The 23201-nt window shown below is 36.2% G+C and overlaps 1 protein-coding gene across 6 annotated transcripts in view; it reads left to right on the plus strand.

Moving 5' to 3' along the window:
* Window positions 1-23201, plus strand: part of CNTN1 (contactin 1) — a 379977-nt gene that overhangs the window by 114002 nt on the left and 242774 nt on the right. For 2 of the 6 annotated variants that reach the window (XM_005268651.3, NM_001256064.2), the window contains exon 1: window positions 21744-21861. The exons of the other annotated variants lie outside the window; for them this stretch is intronic. The gene's annotated coding sequence lies outside the window, so the exon portion shown is untranslated. Of the gene's footprint in view, window positions 1-21743; window positions 21862-23201 lie in introns of those variants that run through there. 6 annotated transcript variants of the gene reach the window in all.

The following is a 23201-nucleotide window of genomic DNA, read 5'->3' on the forward strand; positions in this document are numbered from 1 at the left end:
CCCGCTAATGTCATAAAGTGTTTCTTTTGTAAGAAAGGAGAGTTCAGGGAAGTGCATGGCATCACATGTCTATTCCTCCACAGTTCCCAATCATTTCCCACCCAAATGGACCACCAGTGGGGGCTCTCTGGTCTCCTTCCCTAACGCCAATCTTCTTTATGAGCACTTGAAAAATATCCTTGGAGCCTGCAAGTGATTAAAGCTTTTCTTTTTGTCAGATGTCCTGAGCTATTTCAGATTGACATGGTAGCCCATATGGCCTCTGCAGATCTTTAAAATTTTAGCTCATTAAGTCTCAATCACACACATATTGTCCCTAGTGTGGCACTTCTTTCTCCCATACTCCACCACTAATGAGACAGTTTGTGTGCCCTGCTTTTCCTTGGAGGAACTTGTCCCTTTTTGACTTATGGGTTACATGATTACCTTGTAGTCTGAGCTCTCTGACAAACAATAAAATCATTATTTTCTAGTTTATTCAGTTTTTTCATAGTTATGGTAGAAGCAATATTCTTTGCAGCTTTCTACATCCTAAATGAAGGCTAGTTATAGAACTTTTTTGACTATCAGTCATATTGATGTAGAGCAGCCACACTATACCAAGCACAGGAACGGTACAGAATAGTGATAATTCATACAAAATAATCACTGATTCTATACCTGGAGAGGACCCTAAAGGATGGATACTTACCTTGGGCTGGGATCGAGAAGCATAAAATCCCTGGAAATGAAATAACATATATTCCCTCCTCTATAGCTCTTCATTCCTTTCTATTTCACCTCCTCACTTCTGACATATACTTGCAAGAAAAGGGGGTGTCCACATCATATAAATGGTTCCCTCAATTATTATTATTATAATTATTATTATTTTTATACCCCTCCTCTTTTTATCCCCATCCCTACATGGTGAGTAGTTCTCTAGTCTAGAGAGTATGGACCAGAGACTTGATCACCAACAGAGCTAACATGGTAGACATTTCCAAAGAGCTAGCATAAGGAGGGCGAAAGGTGGCTCTAGCCTTGTCTAAAAGCTAGTGCTACCCTCTTCTTACATTTAAGATTTCTGCTGCACCAAAGGCCAAAGCCTCTCATTTTCAAGGACTCTGGAATAGTACTGCAAGTGCTCTAAATGTAGAGTGATTAGAAGATCTTAGTTAATTAAGACAGATACAGGTTAGGAGTGGACTTCATTAGATCCTTCTCAGAGCCTGTCAGAACCTCAAAATTATTTTCTGTTCTTATGTTTCTTCAAGTGGAATCTATAATTCTTATCCTACTTTGTTAAGCCATTGTACTGTTTAAATTACTGTTGTGTATTTTTAGGTAACTACCTTGTAAACCTATTCAACCATAGGAAAAAGGCACATTTGGGGTTAATTTTAAATATAATTACCTTTAACATTTTCTTTTATCTCTTAATGTCTTTTAATATTATTGTCATCCAGGAGGGATGGGAATTTAAATAGGATGGTTCAAAGCATATTTATAGCTAACTTGCATGCCTGTGATGAAGCAAATTTAACCACAATGATTTTCCAAATTCTTTGTTTACTTAGACAGTATAACTGCCTTTGATAGTTTCTTAATTTTCTTCCCTCAACTGTCAATGGTAAAAGTACAGATCTTTTGGAATAAGCATTCCCTGGGTGTTCTTTTAGATTCAGTCATTGTTCAGTTGACCAAAGAGAACTTACTATAGCTCAACTTTTGCCTATCCATACTGGAACATTAGTTAAAATTTTGAGTTGACTGTGTTAAAATCAAAATTTAAAAACACTATGTTTTGGGGTTAGTTACGGTTAATTATCTTTAAATCTCTCAAGTCATTGAATTGTGAGCTGAGATGTGCTGGTAAATGTGTAACAACTGACTCTCCCAGGGAAAAGAGAAAACCCTAATGTGCAGCATTTGCTGATTTTGGTCATATAAATATTTCCACCATGGTTGATTCCAAGCTACCAACATGATGTCATCGAACATCATATAATTGGGAAGAAGTACTCAATAGCACACTATTATACAGAATTTCCACCATACAGATAAAATAGGTGTAAATAATCTCTATAGCATTAATAATATTAAAATGTATAGGAATGATTTAGAGTATTTAGCATTTTAAAAATATAATTTAAAGCTTATCATTTAATTATTAATGATGACTGTGATTTTTTTAAACAACCAGCTTGCAAAATTCCTGAAATTAAAATAGGCTCTTCCATATTGTGACAGGCTGATCTCAACAAACCACTGGTTCTAAGCCTTTGAGGACAAGAGCTTTTAAATTCCAACCACCAGATTGGGTTTTGACTCACAGCCCACATCAGTGAATATTTGCGAAAGAAAGAGCTCAAGTCAAGGTTAGCCAATAAAAACAAACGAACAAATAAACAAACAAACAAAAACCTAGGTATTATTCTTTGAATTCATACATCTGCATGGTCCAAACTGGTTTTTCTTTCACTTCCATTCCCTTGTTTTTCTCTGTGCATGTAATTTAGATTATTTTTCAAACATAATTATTACTGGATCATATAGTGGTCACTCTAGTCAAGAATTTTGCATCTGACGATTTTTCACCAAGAAGGCAGTCTAGATCATGTGTTATTCACATAAATTAGGAATTTTATTACCTACTTTAAATCAATTATTTCTAATTGAAATATTGTGTATTTCTATATAAAGTAACACTTTGTTCAGAAAGATCCCTACAACCATTCCCTAGAACTAAAATATTAGTTGTATTTTCAAGATATTTTTATGACTTCCTCTTTAATTTCATAGGACAGATGTCTGTGATAAAATCTTTTCCAGGAAATTACAGCTGCTAGTTTCAAGATAAAACTCCTTATGAAGAAGCAAAGTTGATTGATTACCTTATGCAATAACTCCACAAAATGAATGTTTTACAAAATAACTTGCTGGTACATTAATATCCTTCTCTGGGGGTTAGTTTGGGGCAGGAAATAAAATGTGTCCCAAAGTATGCATATCAAAAGGAACTTATACAAAATCATCTTATTAAATGAATCAACAAATTTTATATCTTGAACCTATAGTCAAGTAAGAATGGAAAGAATATATATATATAAAACATTTATTGGCCGGGCACAGTGGCTCACGCCTGTAAGCCCAGCACTTTGGGAGGCCAAGGCAGGCGGATCACGAGGTCAGGAGTTCAAGATCAGCCTGACCAGCATGACCTGTCTCTACTAAAAATATAAAATTAGCCAGGTGTGGTGGTGCACGCCTGTAATCCCAGCTACTCAGGAGGCTGAGGCAGGAGAATTGCTTGAACCCGGGGGGCAGAGGTTGCAGTGAGCCGAGATTGTGCCACTGCACTCCAGCCTGGGCAACAGAGTGAGACTCTGTCTCACACACACACACACACACACACACACACACACACAAAAGTCAAAACTCATTTGTAAATGACTCTATATATTTGGAGAATTTTACAACTCTACAGATTGTTTTTAATAAAAATCAGGTGACACTAATCTCTATTGTTAGTCGTCAGGATAGTGGCTATCTTTGGGGCTGGTAGAGGATGGATCAGTGTGCATTATTAGTGTGAACAATATATACTTGTATGCTGTAATCATGGTATGGTTATTTTAAAAAATATATGCAAAAGTTTTTAGATAAGTACCTTTTTAATGATAATGAGGCTGAAAGTCCATAAATGAAGCCTGTATTTTAAATCAAGTATTGTAGCGAATTTTGTTTGGGGCATTTATTCATTCATGCATTCCTATAATAAGCCCTCTTTTATATTCTTCAGCTTTGTTGAGGTATACTTGACAAATAAAAATTTTATGTATTAAAGGTGTATATGAGTCACAAAGTGATGTTTTGATATCTATATACAAATTGCTAAATGATTTCCACAATAAAGTTTGTTAACATAGCCATCATCTCACATAGCTACCTTTTGTCCTTTTTGTGCTGACAATACTTAAGATCTACTTTCTAAGAGAATTTCAAGTGTATAATATGGCATTATTAACTATAGTCACCATGTTTTACGTGAGGTCTCTAGAACTTATTCATCTTACAACTGCCACGTTTGTACCCTTTGACCAACATCTCCCCATTTCCACCACACCCTAACATCTAGTACCTAACCTTCTATTCTGTTTCTATGAGATTGATTTTTTTTTTTTTTAGATTTCACATATAAGTGAGATTACATAGTATTTATCTTTCTGTGTATGACACTTCAGTTAGCATAATGTTCTCCAGGTTCATCCTAGTTGTTGCAAATGACAGGATTTCCTTCCTTTTAAAAATTGAGCTGGAATAGTGGCTCATGCCTATAATTTCAGACCTTTGGGAGGCTAAGACTGCAGGATTGCTTGAGGGCAAGAGTTTGAAACCAGCTAGGCAACATAGTAAGACCTCATATCTACCAAATATAAATAAATAAATAAAGTAGCTAGGCATGGTGGTACATGACTGCTGAGGCAGGAAGATCACTTGACCCCAGAAGTTTGAGGTTACAATCAGCTACAACCATGGCACTGTACTCCAGCCTGGGTGACAGAATGAAAGCCTGTCTCTAAAAATAAATAACAAATAAAAATTGATTAATATTTAATTGCGTGTACATCAAATTTCTTTATCCGTTCATTCATCAATGGACACTTAGGTTGTGTTCATTACTTGGTTATTGAGAATAATGCTGCAGTGAACATGGAAGTACAGATATTTCTTCAAGACAGTGATTAAATTTTCTTTGGATATACACCCTGAAATCGGATTGCTTGATAATATGGTCATTCTGTTTTTAATTTTTTTAGTATCATCCATAATGTATTACATAACCCTTTGCTGGTATTTTATACAGGCAACACAATATGCCTTTTGAAAACACTGAGTTGAGGATATTTGCATCTATGTTTATCAGAATTGGCCTGTAATTTTCTTTTCTTGTAGTGTGTTTATCTGGCTTTGGTATAAGGATAAAGCTGGCCTCATTAAAATGAGTTTGAAAATGTTCACTTCTCTATAATTTTTCAAGCTGTTTGAGAAAGATTGGTGTAAATTCTTTTCTAAATGTTTGGTAGAATTCACCAGTAAAGTCATCCATTTCTGGGCTTTTTTTGATAGAAGATTTTTGATAACTGATTAGATTGCCTTACTTGTATTTGTCTGTTTAGATTTTCTATTTCATAATTCAATCTTGATAGGTTGTATGCTTCTAGGAATTTATTGATTTCTTCTAGATTATCCAATTTGTTTGGATATAATTGTTCATAGTAGCCTCTTAGAATCCTTTGTGTTTTGTAATATCACCTGTTATATCCTTTTTCATTTCTCATTTTATTTGAGTCTTTTCTCCTTTTTCCTTCGTCTCACTGAAGGTTTGTTAACTTTATCTTTTCAAAAAAAAAAAAACTCTTAGTGTCATTGACATTTTCTATTGTTTTTCCATTTTCTATTTCACTTATTTCTGCTCTGATTTTGTTATTTTGTTTCTTCTACTAATTTTAGTCTTAGTTTGTTCTTCTTTTTCTCATTCCTTGAGATGTAATGTTAGGTTGTTTATGTGAGATCTTTCTTTTTTTTTTAATGTAGACATTTATTGCCATAACTGTCTCCTTAGAACTGCTTTTGCTGCATCCCTTAAATTTCGGTATGTTGTGTTTTCATTTTTGTTTGTCTTAAGATATTTTCAAAGTTATCTTTTGATTTCTTTGACTCATTGGTTATTCAGGAGCATATTGTTTAATTTCCACATGTTTGTGAATTTTCCAGTCTTTCTGTTATTATTGACTTCTAGATTTGATTATAAAAGATACTTAATATGATTTCAAGCTTCTTAAATTTGCTAAGACTGATTTTGTGGCCCAATGTTTGATCTATCCTAGAGAATGCTGTGTGTACACTTGAGAAGAATATGTATTCTGCTGCTGTTGGATGGAATGTTCTGTGTATGTCTTGTGTTCACTTTGTCTATAGGTTATTTAAGAAACCTATAGACAATGTTTCTGTTTATGTCTGCTGTTTTCTTACTGATTTTCTGTCTGGATGATTTATCCATTGTTGAAAATGGGGTATTGAAGCCCCTAATACTATTGTATTTGTGTTGATTTCTCCCATCAGTTCTGTTAATATTTGTTTTATATATTTAGCTGCTATAGTATTGGGTGCATATATATTTACAATGGTTATATCTTGATGAATTCACTCTTTTATCATGATATAATGACCTTTGTCTCTTACGACAGTATTTTACTTAAAGTCTATTTTGTAAAAGACCATTTTGTATATTTAGGGTTCCATTTGCATGGAATATCTTCTTACATCCCTTCACTTTGTATGTGCCCTTAAAGCTCTAGTGAGTCTCTTGTAGGTAGCATCTAGTTAGGTCTTATTTTTCTGTTCATTTGTCTGTTTTAATCCATTAAGCTACTCTGTATCTTTTGTTGAGAGAATTTAATCCATTTGCATTCAAGGTAATTATTTTAGGTAAGGACTTAATACTGCCAGTTTGTTAATTTTTTTTTTTTTTTTGGTTGTTTTGAAAATCAATTCCTTCCTTCCTTCCATCCTTTTTCCTTCCTTCCATCCTTTCTTTCTTTCTCTTTCTTTCCTTTCTTTCTTTCTTTCTTTCTTCCTTCCTTCCTTCCTTCCTTCCTTCCTTTCTTTCTCTTTCTTTTTTTCTTTCTTTCTTTCCTTCTTTCTTTCTTTCTTTTTCTTTCTGCCTTCCCCTCCTTTCTTTTCATTTTTTGCTGTCTCCATTTTTGACACAATAATTTCAGTTTTTTCTTATTTGCTTCTAAAAAGAAAAAAAAAAAACAGGATTCATGTGCAGAACATGCAGATTTGTTACATAAGTATACATGTGTCATGGTGGTTTGCTACACCTATTGACCCATCCTCTAAGTTCCCTCCCCTCAACCCCCAACCCACAACAGGCCAGGGTATGTGTTGTTCCCCTCTTTGTGTCCACGTGTTCTCAATGTTCAACTCCTTCTTATGAGTGAGAACATGCAGTGTTTAGTTTTCTGTTCCTGGGTTAGTTTGGTGAGATCGATGCCTTCCAACCTCATCCGTCTCCCTGCAAAGGACACGATCTCATTCCTTTTTATGTCTGCATAGTATTCTATGTTGTATATGTACCACATTTTCTTTATTCAGTCTATCATTGGTGGGCATTTGGGTGGGTTCCAAGTCTTTGCTATTGTAAATAGTGCTGCAATAAACATACATTTGCATGTGTCTTTATAATAGAATCATTTATATTCCTTTGGGTATATACCCAGTAATGGGATTGCTGGGTCAAATGGTATTTCTGGTTCTAGATCCTTGAGGAATCACCATACTGTCTTCCACAATGGTTGAACTAATTTACATTCCCACCAACAGTGTAAAAATATTTCTATTTCTCCACAGCCTCGCCAGCATCTATTATGTCCTGACATTTTAATAATGGCCATTCTGACTGGTGTGAGATGGTATCTCATTGTGGTTTTGATTTGCATTTCTCTGAGGATCAGTGGTGTTCAGCTTTTTTTCATATGTTTGTTGGCCGTGTAAATGTCTTTTTTTTGAGAAGTGTCTGTTCATATCATTTGCCCACTTTTTGATGGTGCTGTTTGTCTTTTTCTTGTAAATACGTTTAAGTTCCCTATAAATTCTGGATATTAGACCTTTGTCAGATGGGTAGATTGCAAAAATTTTCTCCCATTCTGTAGTTTGCCTCCTCACTCTGATGATAGCTTCTTTTGCTGTGCAGAAGCTCTTTAGTTTAATTAGATCCCATTTGTCAATTTTGGCTTTTGTTGCAATTACTTTTGGAGTTTTTGTCATAAAGTCTTTGCCCATGCCTATGTCCTAAATGGTATTACCTAGGTTTTCTTCTAGGGTTTTTATGGTTTTGTGTTTTACATTTGAGTCTTTAAGCCATCTTGAGTTAATTTTTGTATAAGACGTAAGGACGGAGTCCAGTTCCATTTTTTCTCCATATGGTTAGCCAGTTTTCCCAGCCATTTACTGAATAGGAGATCCTTTCCCCATTGATTATTTTTGTCAGGTTTGTCAAAGATCAGATGGTTGTAGATGTGTGCTGTTATTTCTGAGGTCTCTATTCTGCTCCATTGGTCTATATGATTGTTTTGGTACTAGTATCATGCTGTTTTGGTTACTGTAGGCTTGTAGTATAGTTTGAAGTCAGGTAGCGTGATGCCTTCAGCTTTGTTCTTTTGGCTTAGGAATGTCTTGGCAATGCAGGCTCTTTTTTGGTTCCATATGAACTTTAAAGTAGTTTTTTTTCCAGTTCTGTGAAGAAAGTCATTGGTAGCTTGATGGGGATGGCATTGAATCTATAAATTACCTTGGGCATATGGACATTTTCACGATATTGATTCTGCCTATCCATGAGCATGGAATGTTATTCCATTCGTTTGTGTCCTCTTTTATTTCGTTGAGCAGCAGTTTGTAGCTGTCCTCGAAAAGGTCCTTCCCATCCCTTGTAAGTTGGATTCCTAGGTTGATTTTCTTTGAAGCAATTGTGAATGGGAGTTCACTCATGATTTGGCTCTCTGTTGGTCTGTTATTTGTGTCTACCCTTGTGACACAGTGAAAGAGAAACCCAGTTACTGTAGCCTTGTAGTATAGTTTGAAGTCAGGTGGCATCATACCTCCAGCTCTGTTCTTTTTGCTTAGGATTGTCTTGGCTATTTGAGGTCTTCTTAGATTCCATATGAAATTTAAAATAGTATTTTTCTAATTCTGTGAAGAATGTCAATGGTAGTTTGATGGGAATAGCATTGAATCTATAAATTATTTTGGATAGTATGGCCATTTTCACAATATTGATTCTTCCTATCCATGAGGATGGAATATTTTTCCATTTGTTTGTGTTCTCTCATTTGCTTGAGCAGTGGTTTGTAGTTCTCCTTGAAGAGGTCCTTCACATCCCTTGTTAGCTGTATTCCTAGGTATTTTATTCTTTTTGTAGCAATTGTGAATGGGATTTCATTCATAATTTGGCTGTCTGCTTGCCTATTGTAGGTGTAAAGGAATGCTTGTGATTTTTGCACATTGATTTTGTATCCTGAGACTTTGCTGAAGTTGTTTATTAGTTTAGGAAGTCTTTGGGCTGAGATGATGGGGTTTTCAAACTATAAAATCATGTCATCTACAAACAGAGACAACTTGACTTCCTCTATTCCTATTTGGACACCCCTTATTTCTTTCTGTTACCTGATTGCCCTGGCCAGAACTTCCAATTCTATGTTGAATAGGAATGGTGAGAAAGGGCATCCTTGTCTTGTACCAGTTTTCAAAGGGAATGCTTCCAGCTTTTGTCCATTCTACATGACATTGTCTGTAGGTTTGTCATAAATAGCTCTAATTATTTTGAGATATGTTCCATTAATACTTAGTTTATTGAGAGATTTTAACATGAAGCGATGTTGAATTTTATCAAAGGCCTTTATTGCATCTATTGAGATAATCTTGTGGTTTTTGTCTTTGGTTCTGTTTATGTGATGGATTATGTTTATTGATTTGTGTATGTTGAACCAGCCTTGCATCCCAGGGTTAAAGCTGACTTGGTCATGGTGGATACGTTTTTTGGTGTGCTGCTGGATTCAGCTAGCCAGTATTTTATTGAAGGTTTTTGCATTGATGTTCATCAGGGATACTGGCCTGACATTTTCTTTTTTTGTTGTGTCTCTTCCTGCTTTTGGTATCAGGATGATGCTGGCTTCATAAAATGAGTTAGGGAGGAGTCCCTCCTTTTCAATTGTTTGGAATAGTTTCAGAAGGAATGGTACTAGCTCCTCCTTGTATTTCTGGTAGAATTCAGCTGTGAATCCATCTGGTCCTGGGCTTTTTTTGGTTGGTAGGCTATTAATTACTGCCTCAATTTCAGAGCTTGTTATTGGTCTATTCAGGGATTCAAATTCTTCCTGGTTTAGTCCTGATACGGTGTACATGTCCAGGAATTTATCCATTTTTTCTAGATTTTCCAGTTTATTTGCATAGAGGTGTTTTTATTATTCTCTGACGGTAGTTTGTATTTCTGTGGGGTCGATGGTGATGTCCCCTTTACCACTTTTTATTGTGTCTATTTGATTCTTCTCTCTCTTCTTCTCTATTAATCTAGCTTGTTATTTATTTATTTTTTTCAAAAAAACATCCCCTGAATTCATTGATTTTTTTGAAGGGTTTTTCGTGTCTCTGTTTCCTTCACTTCTTCTCTGATCTTATTTATTTCTTGTCTTCTGGCAGCTTTTGGATTCTTTTGCTCTTGCCTCTCTAGCTCTTTTAATTGTAATATTAGAGATTGATTTGAGATCCTTTTAGCTTTCTGATGTGGGCATTTAGTGCTATAAATTTCCCTCTTAACACTGCCATAGCTGTGTCCCAGAGATTCTGGTACATTGTCTCTTTGTTCTCATTGGTTTCAAATAACTTCTTGATTTCTGCCTTAATTTATTTCATTATTTACCCTGGAGTCATTCAGGAGCAGGTTGTTCAACTCCCATGAAATTGTGTAGTTTTGTGTGAGTTTCTTAATCCTGGGTTCTAATTTGATTGCACTGTGGTTTGCAAGACTGTTCGTTATGATTTCCATTATTTTGCATTTGCTGAGGAGTGTTTTACTTTCAATTATGTGGTCGATTTTAGAATAAGTGCCATGTGGCACTGAGAAAAATGTATATTCTGTTGATTTGGAGTAGGGAGATCCATAGATGTCTACTAGGTCCCCTTGATCCAGAGCTGAGTTCAAGTCCTGAATATCCTTGTTAATTTTCTCTCTCATTGATCTGCCTAATGCTGACAGTGGGGTGTTAAAGTCTCACACTATTATTGTGTGGTAGTCTAAGTCTCTTTGTAGGTCTCTAAGAACTTGTTTTATGAATCTTAGTGCTCCTCTATTGGGTGCATATATATTCAGAATAGTTAGCTCTTCTTGTTGAATTGTTCCCTTTACCATCATGCAATACCCTTCTTTGTCTTTTTAGCTCTTTGTTGGTTTAAAGCCGGTTTTGTCAGAGACTAGGATTGCAACCCCTGCTTTTTTTTTTTTTTTTTTTTTTTTTTGCTTTTCATTTCCTTGGTAAATTTTCCTCCATCCCTTTCTTTTGAGACTGTGTGTGTCTTTGCATGTAAGATGGGTCTCCTGAATACAGCACATTGATGGGTCTTGACTCCTTATCCAGTTTGCCAGTCTGTGTATTTTAATTGAGGCATTTAGCCCATTTACATTTTAGGTTAATATTGTTATGTGCGAGTTTGATCCTATCATCATGATGCTATTTGGCTATTTTGCACACTAGTTGATGTAATTTCTTTGTAGTGTCATTGGTCTTTATGTTTTGGTGTGTTTTTGCAGTGGCTGGTACTGGTTTTTCCTTTTAGTATTTAATGCTTTTTTCAGGAGCTCTTGCAGGGCAGGCCTGGTGGTGACAAAATCCCTCAGCATTTGCTTGTCTGGAAAGGATTTTATTTTTCCTTTGCTTCTGAAGCTTAGTTTGGCTGGATATGAAATTCTGGGTTGAAAATTCTTTCCTTTAAGGTTGAATATTGGCCCCCCATCTCTTCTGGCTTGTAGACTTTCTTCTGAGAGGTCTGTTGTTATTCTAATGGGCTTCCCTTTGTAGGTGACCTGGCGTTTCTTTCTGGTTGCACTTAACAGTTTTTCCTTCATTTTGACGTTGGAGAATCTGATGATTATGTGTCTTAGGGTTGATCTTCTCATGGAGTGTCATCTTAATGGCATTCTCTGTATTTCCTGAATTTGCATGTTGGACTGTCTTTCTAGGTTGGGGAAGTTCTCCTGGATAATATACTGAAGTGTGTTTTCCAGCTTGATTCCATCCTCCCCATCTCCTTCTGGTTGTCCAATCAATTGTAGGTTCAGTTTTTTTATGAAGTTCCATATTTCTTGGAGGCTTTGTTCATTCCTTTTCATTCTTTTTTTCTCTATTCTTGTCCGCATGTTTTATTTCAGTAAGGTGGTCTTCAAACTCTGATATCCTTTCTTCCGCTTTGTCAATTCTTCTGTTTTTACTTGTGTATGCATCACGAAGTACTCGTGCTGTGTTTTTCAGCTCCATCATGTAATTTATATTCCTCTCTAAACTGGATATTCTAGTTAGTAATTTCTCTAACCTTTTATCAAGGTTCTTAGCTTCTTTGCATTGGGTTAGAACATGCTCCTTTAGCTCATCATAGTTTTTTATTACCCATCTTCTGAAGCCTACTTCAGTCAATTCATCCATCTGATCCTCCATCCAGTTCTGTGCCCTTGATGGAAAGATGCTGCAATTATTTGGGGGAGAGGAGGCACTCTGGCCTTTTTGGTTTTCAGCATTTTTTCATTAATTCTTTTTCATCTTTGTGAGTTTGTCTAGTTTTGGTATTTGAGGCTGCTGACCTTTGGATGGGGTTTTTCTGGGGGCCTTTTTGTTTTTGTTGTTGATGCTATTTTTGTCACTTTGTCCTTGTTTGTTTTCTTTCAATAGTCAGGTCCCTCTTCCATAGGGCTGCTGCAGTTTGCCGGGGGTTCGCTTCAGGCCTTATTCATCTGATTCACTCCTGTGCCTGCAGATATGATTCAAGGAGGCTGAAGAGCAGCAAAGATGGGTGCCTGCTCCTTCTTCTGGGACCTCTGCCCTTGAGGGGGACTAAGCTGATGTTAGTAGGATCGCTCCTGTATAGGGTGTGTCTGACAACCCCGGTTGGAGGGTCTCACTCAGTTGGGTGGCACAGGAAGCAGGACCTGTTTAAGGAAGCACTTTATCCCTTGGTGGAAAGGGTGTGTTTTGCTGGGGGGAAGCCCACTTCTCTGGGCTGCCCAGAGTCTTCAGAATGACCAGGAGGAGAGGCTAAGTCTGCTGGTCCCCAGAGACTGCGGCCACCCCTCTCACTAGGGGCTCAGATCCAGGGAGCTCTGAATTCTGTCCCTGAGCCTCTGGCTGGACTTATTGGAAATCCTGTAGGAAAGCCCCACCCACTGAGGAAGGATGCCTCAGGGTTAGACCTGAAGAGGCACTCTGGCCGTATTCCACAGCAAGTGTGCTGTGCTGTGGGGCCAAGTCTTGGGACCAAGCTATCCAGTCTTCCTGGCTCCAGCAAGGGAAAAGCACAGCCTGGAGCTATGGAAATAGGTGCCGCCCTTCCCCCCGCCCAGGGAGCTTAGCATGTTAGGCATTGTAGGTCCCAGTGCTGGCTGCTGTTCCTCCCTCAAGGAGCTCAAATGGCTTAGACAGCAGGCAGCTGCAGCCAGTGCTGGTCGCCCCTCCCCCCTGGAGTTCAGTAAGCTTAAGCAGATTCCAGCTGAGAGGCTGTAAGAATCTGCACGTTCTGGGATTGGGACACTAGGCTCTGGTGGTGTGGGTTCACAAGTAGGATCTTCCGATCCGTGGGTTGCACATTTCTGTGGAAAAAGGACAGTTTACCCAGCTGGGTATCGTGCTCACTCACCACCTCTCTTGGCTCGGGGGAGGGGGTTCCCCTTCCTTGTGTCGTTCTCAGGTTGGCTGCCGCACCACACTGTTCTTTCTTCTCTCCGTGGGTCATGCCAGCCTTCTAGTCAATTTTGATGAGAGAACCTGGATACCTTGGTTGCCAGTGAAGGATTCACATGCTTATTATGTTTTTATAAGAAGCATGGCACTAGCAGCTGCATCTGGTAAAGGCCTCAGAATACTTTCAGTCATGGCAGAAGGCAAAGGGGAACCAGCATGTGCAGAGATGACATGGTAAGAGAGGAAGAAAGAGAGAGGGTGAGGAAGTACCAGGCTCTTTTTAACAACCAGCTCTTGTGGGAACTAATTCACTCACCTCTGATGGAGGGCATTACTCTATTCCTGAGGTATCCATCCCCATGACCCAGACACCTCCCATTAAGTTCCACACTGCCACATTGGGGATCAAATTTCAATGTAAGGTTCAGAGGGGACAAATATTCAAACCATAGCAGTGGCTCTGATTCTGAGGTGTGGACACATGTGGAGTGGCAGTGAAGTCAGAGTCCAGAATACAGTTGTGTAGAGTGACTATAGGACCTGGAGTGTAGGTAACTCTCAGGGACTCTGACTCTGGTGTCTGAGACATGGGCACTTACAGTGGAATCATAGAGCCAGTGGTCTGGAACATGGGTACAAGTGGAGTGGTCATGATTCTAGAGTTTGGTGGGGTTTGGGAGGTAGCATCACAATAATAATTCCTTTTTAGGGGGATCACAGCATCTCCCTCTCCAGGTTGTTCACAGTGGCAATGGCTCTTGGTGACCTCAGTGGTGAAAGTTACCAGTGTCCCTTGCAGAGAAGATTCACGGGAAACCATGTTGGCACCTGATGCATGGCTAATACTGATAGCCCCCACCATTCTAGACATCTCTAGATATCTCAGGTGTGCCATTCTTCCCAGTGATTTATTGTGTGATTATTCTGGGCATTTTGTTTATTTATTGTTTGTTTTGTTTCATTTTGTTGCATAGATTCTTTTGAACCTTTGAGCAATCCCAAGGATGTTTTTCTTGCCTTTGTAGGGAAAATAAGGCTGATGTCTCCATCTCTGTCAACTTGATGACGTCACTCCACATTAAATCTTCCTAAAGGAATTACTTACTGTTTGATTCGTAGTTCTCAGAAGCTCAAAAGTTCTAAAATAACCAAGAGTGTACACATATTTCTTGAATAAATAATTTGAGACATAATGAGACAGGTCTAATTGTCTTGAGACTGGAAATGTGTTTAGGCTAAATTATTTTTCAAATATTTAAATGTGTTACTAGAGAAGCTAAGTAGGATGTAATTTTAAAAGCTCTTCCTTAATATGTATCCAGAGAGACAGATTGGCAGGTATCCAAAGCTATTTGGTGACTCTCATGGGGCAGAACTTGTTGCTGAGATTTCTTGATTTAAATATGAGTTGAATATGCCTTCCTCCAGGAGCATTTAGTCACTTAAAAAGAAAAACTGCCTATTTTAAAGTAACTAAAATTAAATATGATTAAATAGAGATTATTAGAATTACTTGTTATACTTTGATAAACTTAAAAGACTTTATGTTTTTCAATTATACTTGTAACCATTAGTAGTAGTATTAGTGGTCTCATTTTACATGGAGATTAAATTGCAATTAGCTCATTTTCATGAAACCTGGGAAATGATTTGGTATATGGATATTTGAAAACTATTTGAAACATTAGGGGAAATCTTGGGCATTTTAATGGAACCAGAAATCCTTTAATGTTACATAAACCATGTACAAGTATCTCAAATTTTGAAACATGTTAGGATACCTGTTCACTATAGATATTTATTTTTAATTTTTTTCTTTAATTGAATCTCTTTCTTAATGATTGGAGAGATGCTTCAAATAGAATTGGATGACATTAGAAGTATTTTTTTTCTCCTGGTTACCATCTTAAAAGGGAAATAGAAACTGAAGAAAGGGGACTCCAGCTATAAAACCAAGGGAGCTGGCTTTATTATATTTTCCTCACTTTTAAAATATATTATTGATATTTCAAGCATTTAGATAGTATTCAAAAACAAAATCAAAATTTGTGTTCCACTACCAGCTTAATAAATAGTACTATGTGCAATTGAAATCTTCTGTGAATTTCTTTCTGGTAATACCCTCCTCTGCTCCCCAGAAGTAACTATGATCCTGAATTTGATATTTATATACTTCTCAATGTTTTTTATAATTTCCAGTCTAGACAAAATATAAATCTTTTTTTTTTTTTTTTTTTTTTTTGAGGCAGAGTCTCACTCTGTCACCTAGGCTGGAGTGCAATGGCATGATCTCAGCTCACTGCAACCCCCACCTCCCAGGTTCAAGCAATTCTCCTGCCTCAGCCTCCTGAGTAGCTGGGATTACAGGTGCCCGACACCATGCCCGGCTAATTTTTGTACCTTTAGTAGAGATGGGGTTTCACCATGTTGGCCAGGCTGGTCTCAAACTCCTGACCTCAGGTGATCCGCTCGCCTCGGGCTCCCAAAGTGCTGGGAAAAAATATTATTATACTATCTTGCTTGTTTTTACATGTTATGATTGGAATTGTGATGTATGAGTTCTTCTGTACATTTTCTTCCTCAACATTAAGCTTGTAGGCTCTATGTTGATACTTGTAGCTCTATTGTATTATTTCTGAGTGAATTTTTAAAAATGCTATTAAAGTGTGATATAACGTAATAAACATGGCTTTTTGTCATATGGAACTCAAATTCTGTCTTATTCCTTATATCTATGTACCTTTAAGAAAGTTATTTAAATGATCTCAGCCAGCTTTAAAAAAAATCTATAGAATAAGGTAATAGCATCTTCTTTTTTCTTCCAAATTTTATTTTAGAACCAGGGGCTACATGGACAGGTTTATTACAAAAGTATACTGCTTGATACTGAGGTTTGGAGTATGATTGAATCCATCACCCAGGTAATGAGCATGATACCTAACAGGTAGTTTTTCTGACTCCTACCCACTTCTCCCTGTCCCTCTTATATTCTCTGGTGTTTGTTGTTACCATCTTTATGTCCACGTGTACCCAATGTTTAGCTCCCACTTATAATTGAGAATATAGCATATTCTTTATAAAGTAGTCTTGGTATAATGATGTAATGGGGGTATATATTTAAACACATATATGTATGTATGTATACACACAAACATATCCACACATATATACAATAATATATTTTAGTAACATAATAACAAATATTAATTCTTTTCCATATTATAATTTTCTTTTCTATCTCTACTTTTTAAAATTAGTTGTGATTACTATAAATACTTTTTATATAACAGGGACTACTTGTTGGTATTCTGGGATATAAGAATGCAAGGAAAAAAATTTGAGAAAAAACATTCTGTTATGTCTGTGGTTCTCAGCAGCTTGATGCAGTGAAAGAGGCCTGAGCTATGAAGTCATAAATCCTGGATGTGACTTCCAGCTCATTGGTTCACGGTTGTATGACTTGACCAAATTACTTAATTTTCTTTTAGCCTGATTTTTCATTGGCAAAATGGAAATAGATGCTACTTAACTAATAAGGGCTTTGTGATGATCAAATTAAATCAGTTTAGTAAAGTACTAAACATTTTTCCAGGCTTACTGTATATGTGTAATGCAAATTAGCAATTGTATATGCAATTGTATATGTGTAATGCAAATTTACCATCAATTTATTAATATGTCAAATATTAACAGAAGTCTTTTGTATATGTTTACTTATCCACATTTCAGGGCTTTATTTTCCATCTTCTTTTCACTTTACACTTTCAAACCCTGAGTTATTTCATGGACTTCCATAGCTTAAGCAGTTCTGGACACTAACAAACCAATGTATTCAACTACAGACTCATTATCCAATAGATTATTGGAAATTTTATGTGCCTAACTCTTCATCTTCCTAGTTTACCTCTCCTTTGTTAAATCTAAAATTATTTTCTCATTATCTCACCATATTCTTGTAATACTTAGTACTACTACTCTAGTGTTTAAATATCTCTAAAATATTTTCCTCATCACCATATCCTTACATTTGCCTTGTTTAGTGCCTCATCACTTCTGGTGGATTAGAAATGATATTTTATTAAATGTATCCCTTGCCCCTGCTTATGGCATCCAGTCTATCATTCCCCTACAAAATCTGGCCATATTACTCTCTTGGTGAAATCTTGAAATATTTATATTTCTGCAGAATAGCATCAAACATCTTAACAGCGTTGAAATTGTCCTATATAATCAATATTTTAACAGTTTTTAAAAGGTCTATATAAATCAGATTCTATATAATTTTGCCGTATCACCTGATAAATTGTCCATTGCATCCAAAGTTCTCATCATAGAGAAACTTGAGTTTCTCAAAGCTTATCATGTAATGTCCTCCCTCCCTAAAAATGCATGTGTTGTTCTCTTTCCTGGAAATGCCTTCAAGCCTTTTCTTCCAACACTAAGCCTTGAGAGGAAATAAATTAATGTTTCTAAAGTCCTTACTGTATCAGAAACTGTGTTAAGTAATGTAAAGACATGGTAATAGTTGAATTTCCTAATAACTCTATGAGGTTGACAATATCTCAATTTTAGAGATGAAGAAATTGAGGCAGGATTTAAACTCTCATTGGCTGACTCCAAAAACTGTATTGTTAACAATTGTGCCCTAAATAATTTATTTAATTCCCACAAAAACCTAAAGAAAGATAGATATTTAAGTTGATTTTTACGCGATAAAACTGATGCTCTTGTAGTACAAATGGTGTATCCTAGTCATATAGTTAAATTCAGCAAAGCCTAAATTTAATATCAAATTTGACAAACATTAAAGCCCATATTGTTTCCATTATAAACCCCTGTGTCTTTAAATATCACCCCTTCCCTCAATGAATCATTTCCCAATGCTCCCATGGGTAAATGATAATGCCAATGTTTCTTCTGCTGATATGCCTCGCATAGTGGAATAAAATAAGAATAATTAACATTTATCTAGCAGTTATTTTACATATAGACACAGTTCTATGTGATTTAGTTAATTATCTAATTTAAATATCTCAATGAGTATCATAGCGACCGTGTGCATTACTCTCCAACAGTGTGGTGGCCTGTTTTCCTTATGCAAGTGTGAACACCTTGGAGGCAACAACTGACTGATACATATTTGACTTCCTAGCATCTAGTGCAATTCCTTGTGTGTAGAAGGTACACAATAAATATTTTTAATTAAATGAATGGGCTATGTTAGAGAGTGTCTATGATATTGGTAGGACACAGAGAGAAAAGTAGAAAGCATGCCTTAAATCTTAGAGAACAAATAAAATCTTCTCCCACAGTACTTATCCCTTGAACTCAGGAATGCAGAATCTTTGGTAGGATGCATTCTTTTCCTAACTTGTCATGGCATTTTTTTTTTATGTTGGAGACAAATTATGCATTTTCCAAATGACAGTAGTCAGTTAGACATCTTAATAGAGATAACAGATTTATACCCAAATTGGCTTTGATTTATACCCAAATTTTGATTTATCTTATTGACCCCATTCATATTATAGAGTTCACTCCTTATTTTACATGCACTATAAAATTCAAAATATTGGAAAGCCTCTTGATCTGCAAAGACATCACATTTGTCTAAAGTGGCCATCTCTGTTTTCCATCCATTTGGAAAGATCGTTTAAGTGTTTTTCTCAGGCATAGCCAGACTTCTGAAAAATGGAAATTGGCTCTTTATTACGACCTTGTCTTTGTTTTATGTGAGAGTACAATTGTCTACTTTTCCTCCATCATTTCCATTCAATGCTTACTTGCTGCATCTTTTCTTTGATTTCCCCAGGATTTACTATCTCCACAGTGTCCCTTGTGCCATATATTTCTCTACTTTGCTGGGTTCTAATTTTCGTCTGTTCTAGGATGATGACAATGATGATGATAATGATGAAATGCTGATGATGATGTGTGTATGTGTGTCTTTGTGTGTTTCTCATCTCTGTCTCCATCTTTAGACAATTGAATCCTGAAACTTAACCAAGCAGATGCAAAGTTGCAGTCTTTGTTTCAGAGTTGGCTATGGAGATTTGTATGTGAGAAACGATATTGGCTTTCCTTCCACTCACTGAAGAAAGAGGGACTAAGCTAATGCTCTTCCCAGCCACCTGGTTATGCACTGTTGAATCATGCCATTTTAGGAAACTGAAATTTCTAATTCTTACATTTGTAATTATCGTAGGTTTTGTCAATAATTTAGATTTCCTAAATTATTGTACTCTATATAACCTTGTACCTAATAAATTTCAAAATATTCAAATTTCTATTTATAAATAAAATGATCTTTTTATATGAAATTGATTCTATATATGATTAAATTGATAAAACTTCTGTGATTTTTCAAAAAGTCTGAGGCCTTTAAATCTTCTATTTAAGGAATAAATAATATTACTCATAGAAGAGAGAAATATTATAAAACAAAGTGTATGTAGTTTACTTGAAGTTTATTAGCTTGGTGACAATACCTGCAAATATGAAAATAGAAGCTACCCGGGGCAGAACAAAACATTGTGGCACATGGAATACATAATAGACAAAGGAATTGTATGGCCAATTTCTCAGACAGCCATTTGGAATGTTTTAGCATCTTTATCAGTCAAGTGCAACTGTCTTCTCTATGGCTCAGCAGGGATTATACTTCACATGCACTTCAACATCTCTGAAGTCTGCACCTATTGTCATCAGCACCCCTACTACCTTCAAGGGCTGATATCAACTGCTATTGATTTGTTGATGAAAATGACCATGATGACACCACCAAGGGTGAACACCTCCCTACAGCATAATTATCAATTGGCAAACTTTGGTTTAACTCTGACAGTTATCCTGTACTCTAACCCTGAGTAATGAACTTGAAGGTTTCACTTTGATTTTACAAATGATCAGGTGGAATGACATAGAAATATGAATTGTGTGTGTGTGTGCATGTATGTGAGAGAGTGTATAAAAAGAGGCTTTGGGAAGACATGACTTTAGTCATCTCAGTGACCTTAATAACATCATGTTCAGTCCACTTTTGGTGGAAAAATAAGGCTTAATTGATTTTTATATCTAAGACACTTTGAAAAATAGACAAGCATTTTATACATATATGTATTTGCTGGTTTACATGAATCTCCCATCCTAGTATTTTTGCAAATACTGTTACGACATTTTAAAATGCTACCTTTGTTTTCCCTTGATGAATATTAGCAAAATTAAATGTACATTTTGTTTTAAAGCCTGTTTTTTTTTTTCAGGCAATGAAAACAATGCTGTGTTCTTAGAAGCTTAAATTCTAAGAGCAAGAGCTCTCAGAACCACTGACACACCCAGAGTAAAGGTGCTTATGTTCCAAAATAATTAATATTGATGAACACTTGTACCCATATTGATGATTTTTAAGAGAAACTCCTTCCACATTTTTGAAATGAAAAATTAATTATTTGTAAATTAAACTTTTCTAAAAAAGGTTATTCAAATGAGTCCTGGTAAAAATCTCCATATTTTATAGCCACATATTTTCTCTTTCTTTCATTTATTTATTTATTTTCTTAATTTTCATTTAGCCTTGTTGATGTTCCAGAAATGATAGCGAAAAGCCAATTCCTTATATCTCACTTATAATGTAAAATATCAGCCTAAACTTGCAGAAAGTATATCTTTTGAATAAAAGACAGCAGATGCTGTAGCATTTCTGCCAAAGAAAGAGTCCAGTATAAACATTCTGCAGTATGCAAATGTCATCTCCTCTATGTGAATATTTTCCCCGAGTGGATGTTGCAGGGTTGGAGGCTTCTGCCTATGATTTAGGTTGTAATTTTATTTGTGGAAATAAACCAATCGTGGAGCTCCAATTGTCTTGGTGGTGAGGTGATCAATAGCCCATTACTGGATAGAACAGCGACTACAGGAAGAGCATTGAAGATTTTAATGCATGAATTATGCATGCAGCGCTCATTCTTTAGTCTCCGAACAGAATGACAGGGTTTGTGAAGTCGCCTCAGATAGTTTCTTGCATTAAGTGACTGCAGTGAAATGCTTAATATTTTCAGGCATAGAAGCAGCATTGACTCGGGCCAGCCGAATTTGGAAGATGTAAATCTCCCAGCTCACAGCACGGAATGCTTTATTTGAAAGTATTGCTATGTAGACAGCCGGCTTTTCTGTCATCTAACCTGCTCTCCCCAGGTTGGCTGAAGGATGGGAGCGGCTGTGCCTGCCTGTGAGGTCACAGCATGAAGTCCTTTTAACTTGCTTTCTGCTGCAGGAGAGAGGCGTATTGTGGTATAACTGTTGCTGTATTTATTCAAATGGACAATTTGCAATAGATATTATACCCAGGACGACAGATAAGTCAACACATAAGGTAAGTCCAAGGTTTTTTTTATAGGTTAGGTAATTGTAAACTAGAATATGCTGAGTTAGGATAATGGTGATGCGATATTAATAAGGTTGACTCAGACCTTAGTATTGCAATGCCAGCATCAGGACTCTCAATTGTTACGTTAAACGAGAGGTGACTTTCTATATTTGATAGTATTGGACCATAGGGTATTTTATCTTGCATGCAAAAGCTTTCCAAGAATGTACTAGAGCTCGAATGTGTAGAAGACTGCAAACTGGGGAGGGGCAGCAGTAGAATGAGCTGAATCAATAAGTGGAAATTACCTCCTTGTGGGGAAGTTTTAGCACGGCTGTGGCATCGCGTTGGCTCAGATTATTTCCTTAATGTCAACATTTTCAAATTCTAGTAAAAGATGTGGGTAGACACCAGAAATGCTCAATCCTTCTCCCAGAAGCAGAGGAAAGCACCGAGGTACTCAAACTCAAATACTGTGTTGCATACAAATTGAGCAGATGGAATTAAAACAATTTGGACTAGCATGTCCTTGAGGGAAGACCTTGCTGTCAAACAAACCATTTGACTTCTACCTGTGCTGGTTTGGTTTTGTTTTTCCCTCTTGTTAAGAATGCCTTACTCCAAAATGTATGGATAGATGACGTGTTGTGACATTTACCCAAAAAAGAGTTTTATTTCTTGTTTTTTTAAAAATTACCCCTATACAATTATAGGACCCACTACATAAGATCCAAATAAAATTTACAAAAACTCTGTAAAACTGAAAAACACAGTACTATACGAGTATATTTGTCAGAAGTCATTGTTAATTAAAGTTTCTTGCTTAAATATCATGGCAAATGATTAATTCCTGAACATTTCTTTAGGATGAGAAAACAGAATTAATAAATATAAAGCAAGAGACACTAGATAAGTAAAATTCTTTAAGGCTACTTTTCAATTTATATTATTAGTGAACATATATTACTAGTGAATATATATACTAGTGAATTTATATTACTAGTGAATATATATGCACACACATACATATATACTATAATTCATAGTTTATAAAACATAATATATGCACTATAATATATAGGTATATCTACTTCCTCATGTATGTTTATTAATACTGTTTTTAAAAGTGTGTTTGCTAAATCATCTATCAAGACCAAGAATAGATAAGGACAAGTATGTTTTGGGAAAAAAAAGTATCACTTTATTTTTTTTAAAAAGAAAGAAATTTAGAGTAATGATGATAATAAGAGCACAGCATAAAATGCTACATTTTATGCATTTCAATTCTGCTACAATGTTGCTATATTATTTGGATTTCCTGTTGTCCAGGTGTTGTGCACAGAACT

This window comes from Homo sapiens, chromosome 12 (genome assembly GCF_000001405.40).
Source record: "Homo sapiens chromosome 12, GRCh38.p14 Primary Assembly".
Classification (NCBI taxonomy): domain Eukaryota; kingdom Metazoa; phylum Chordata; class Mammalia; order Primates; family Hominidae; genus Homo; species Homo sapiens.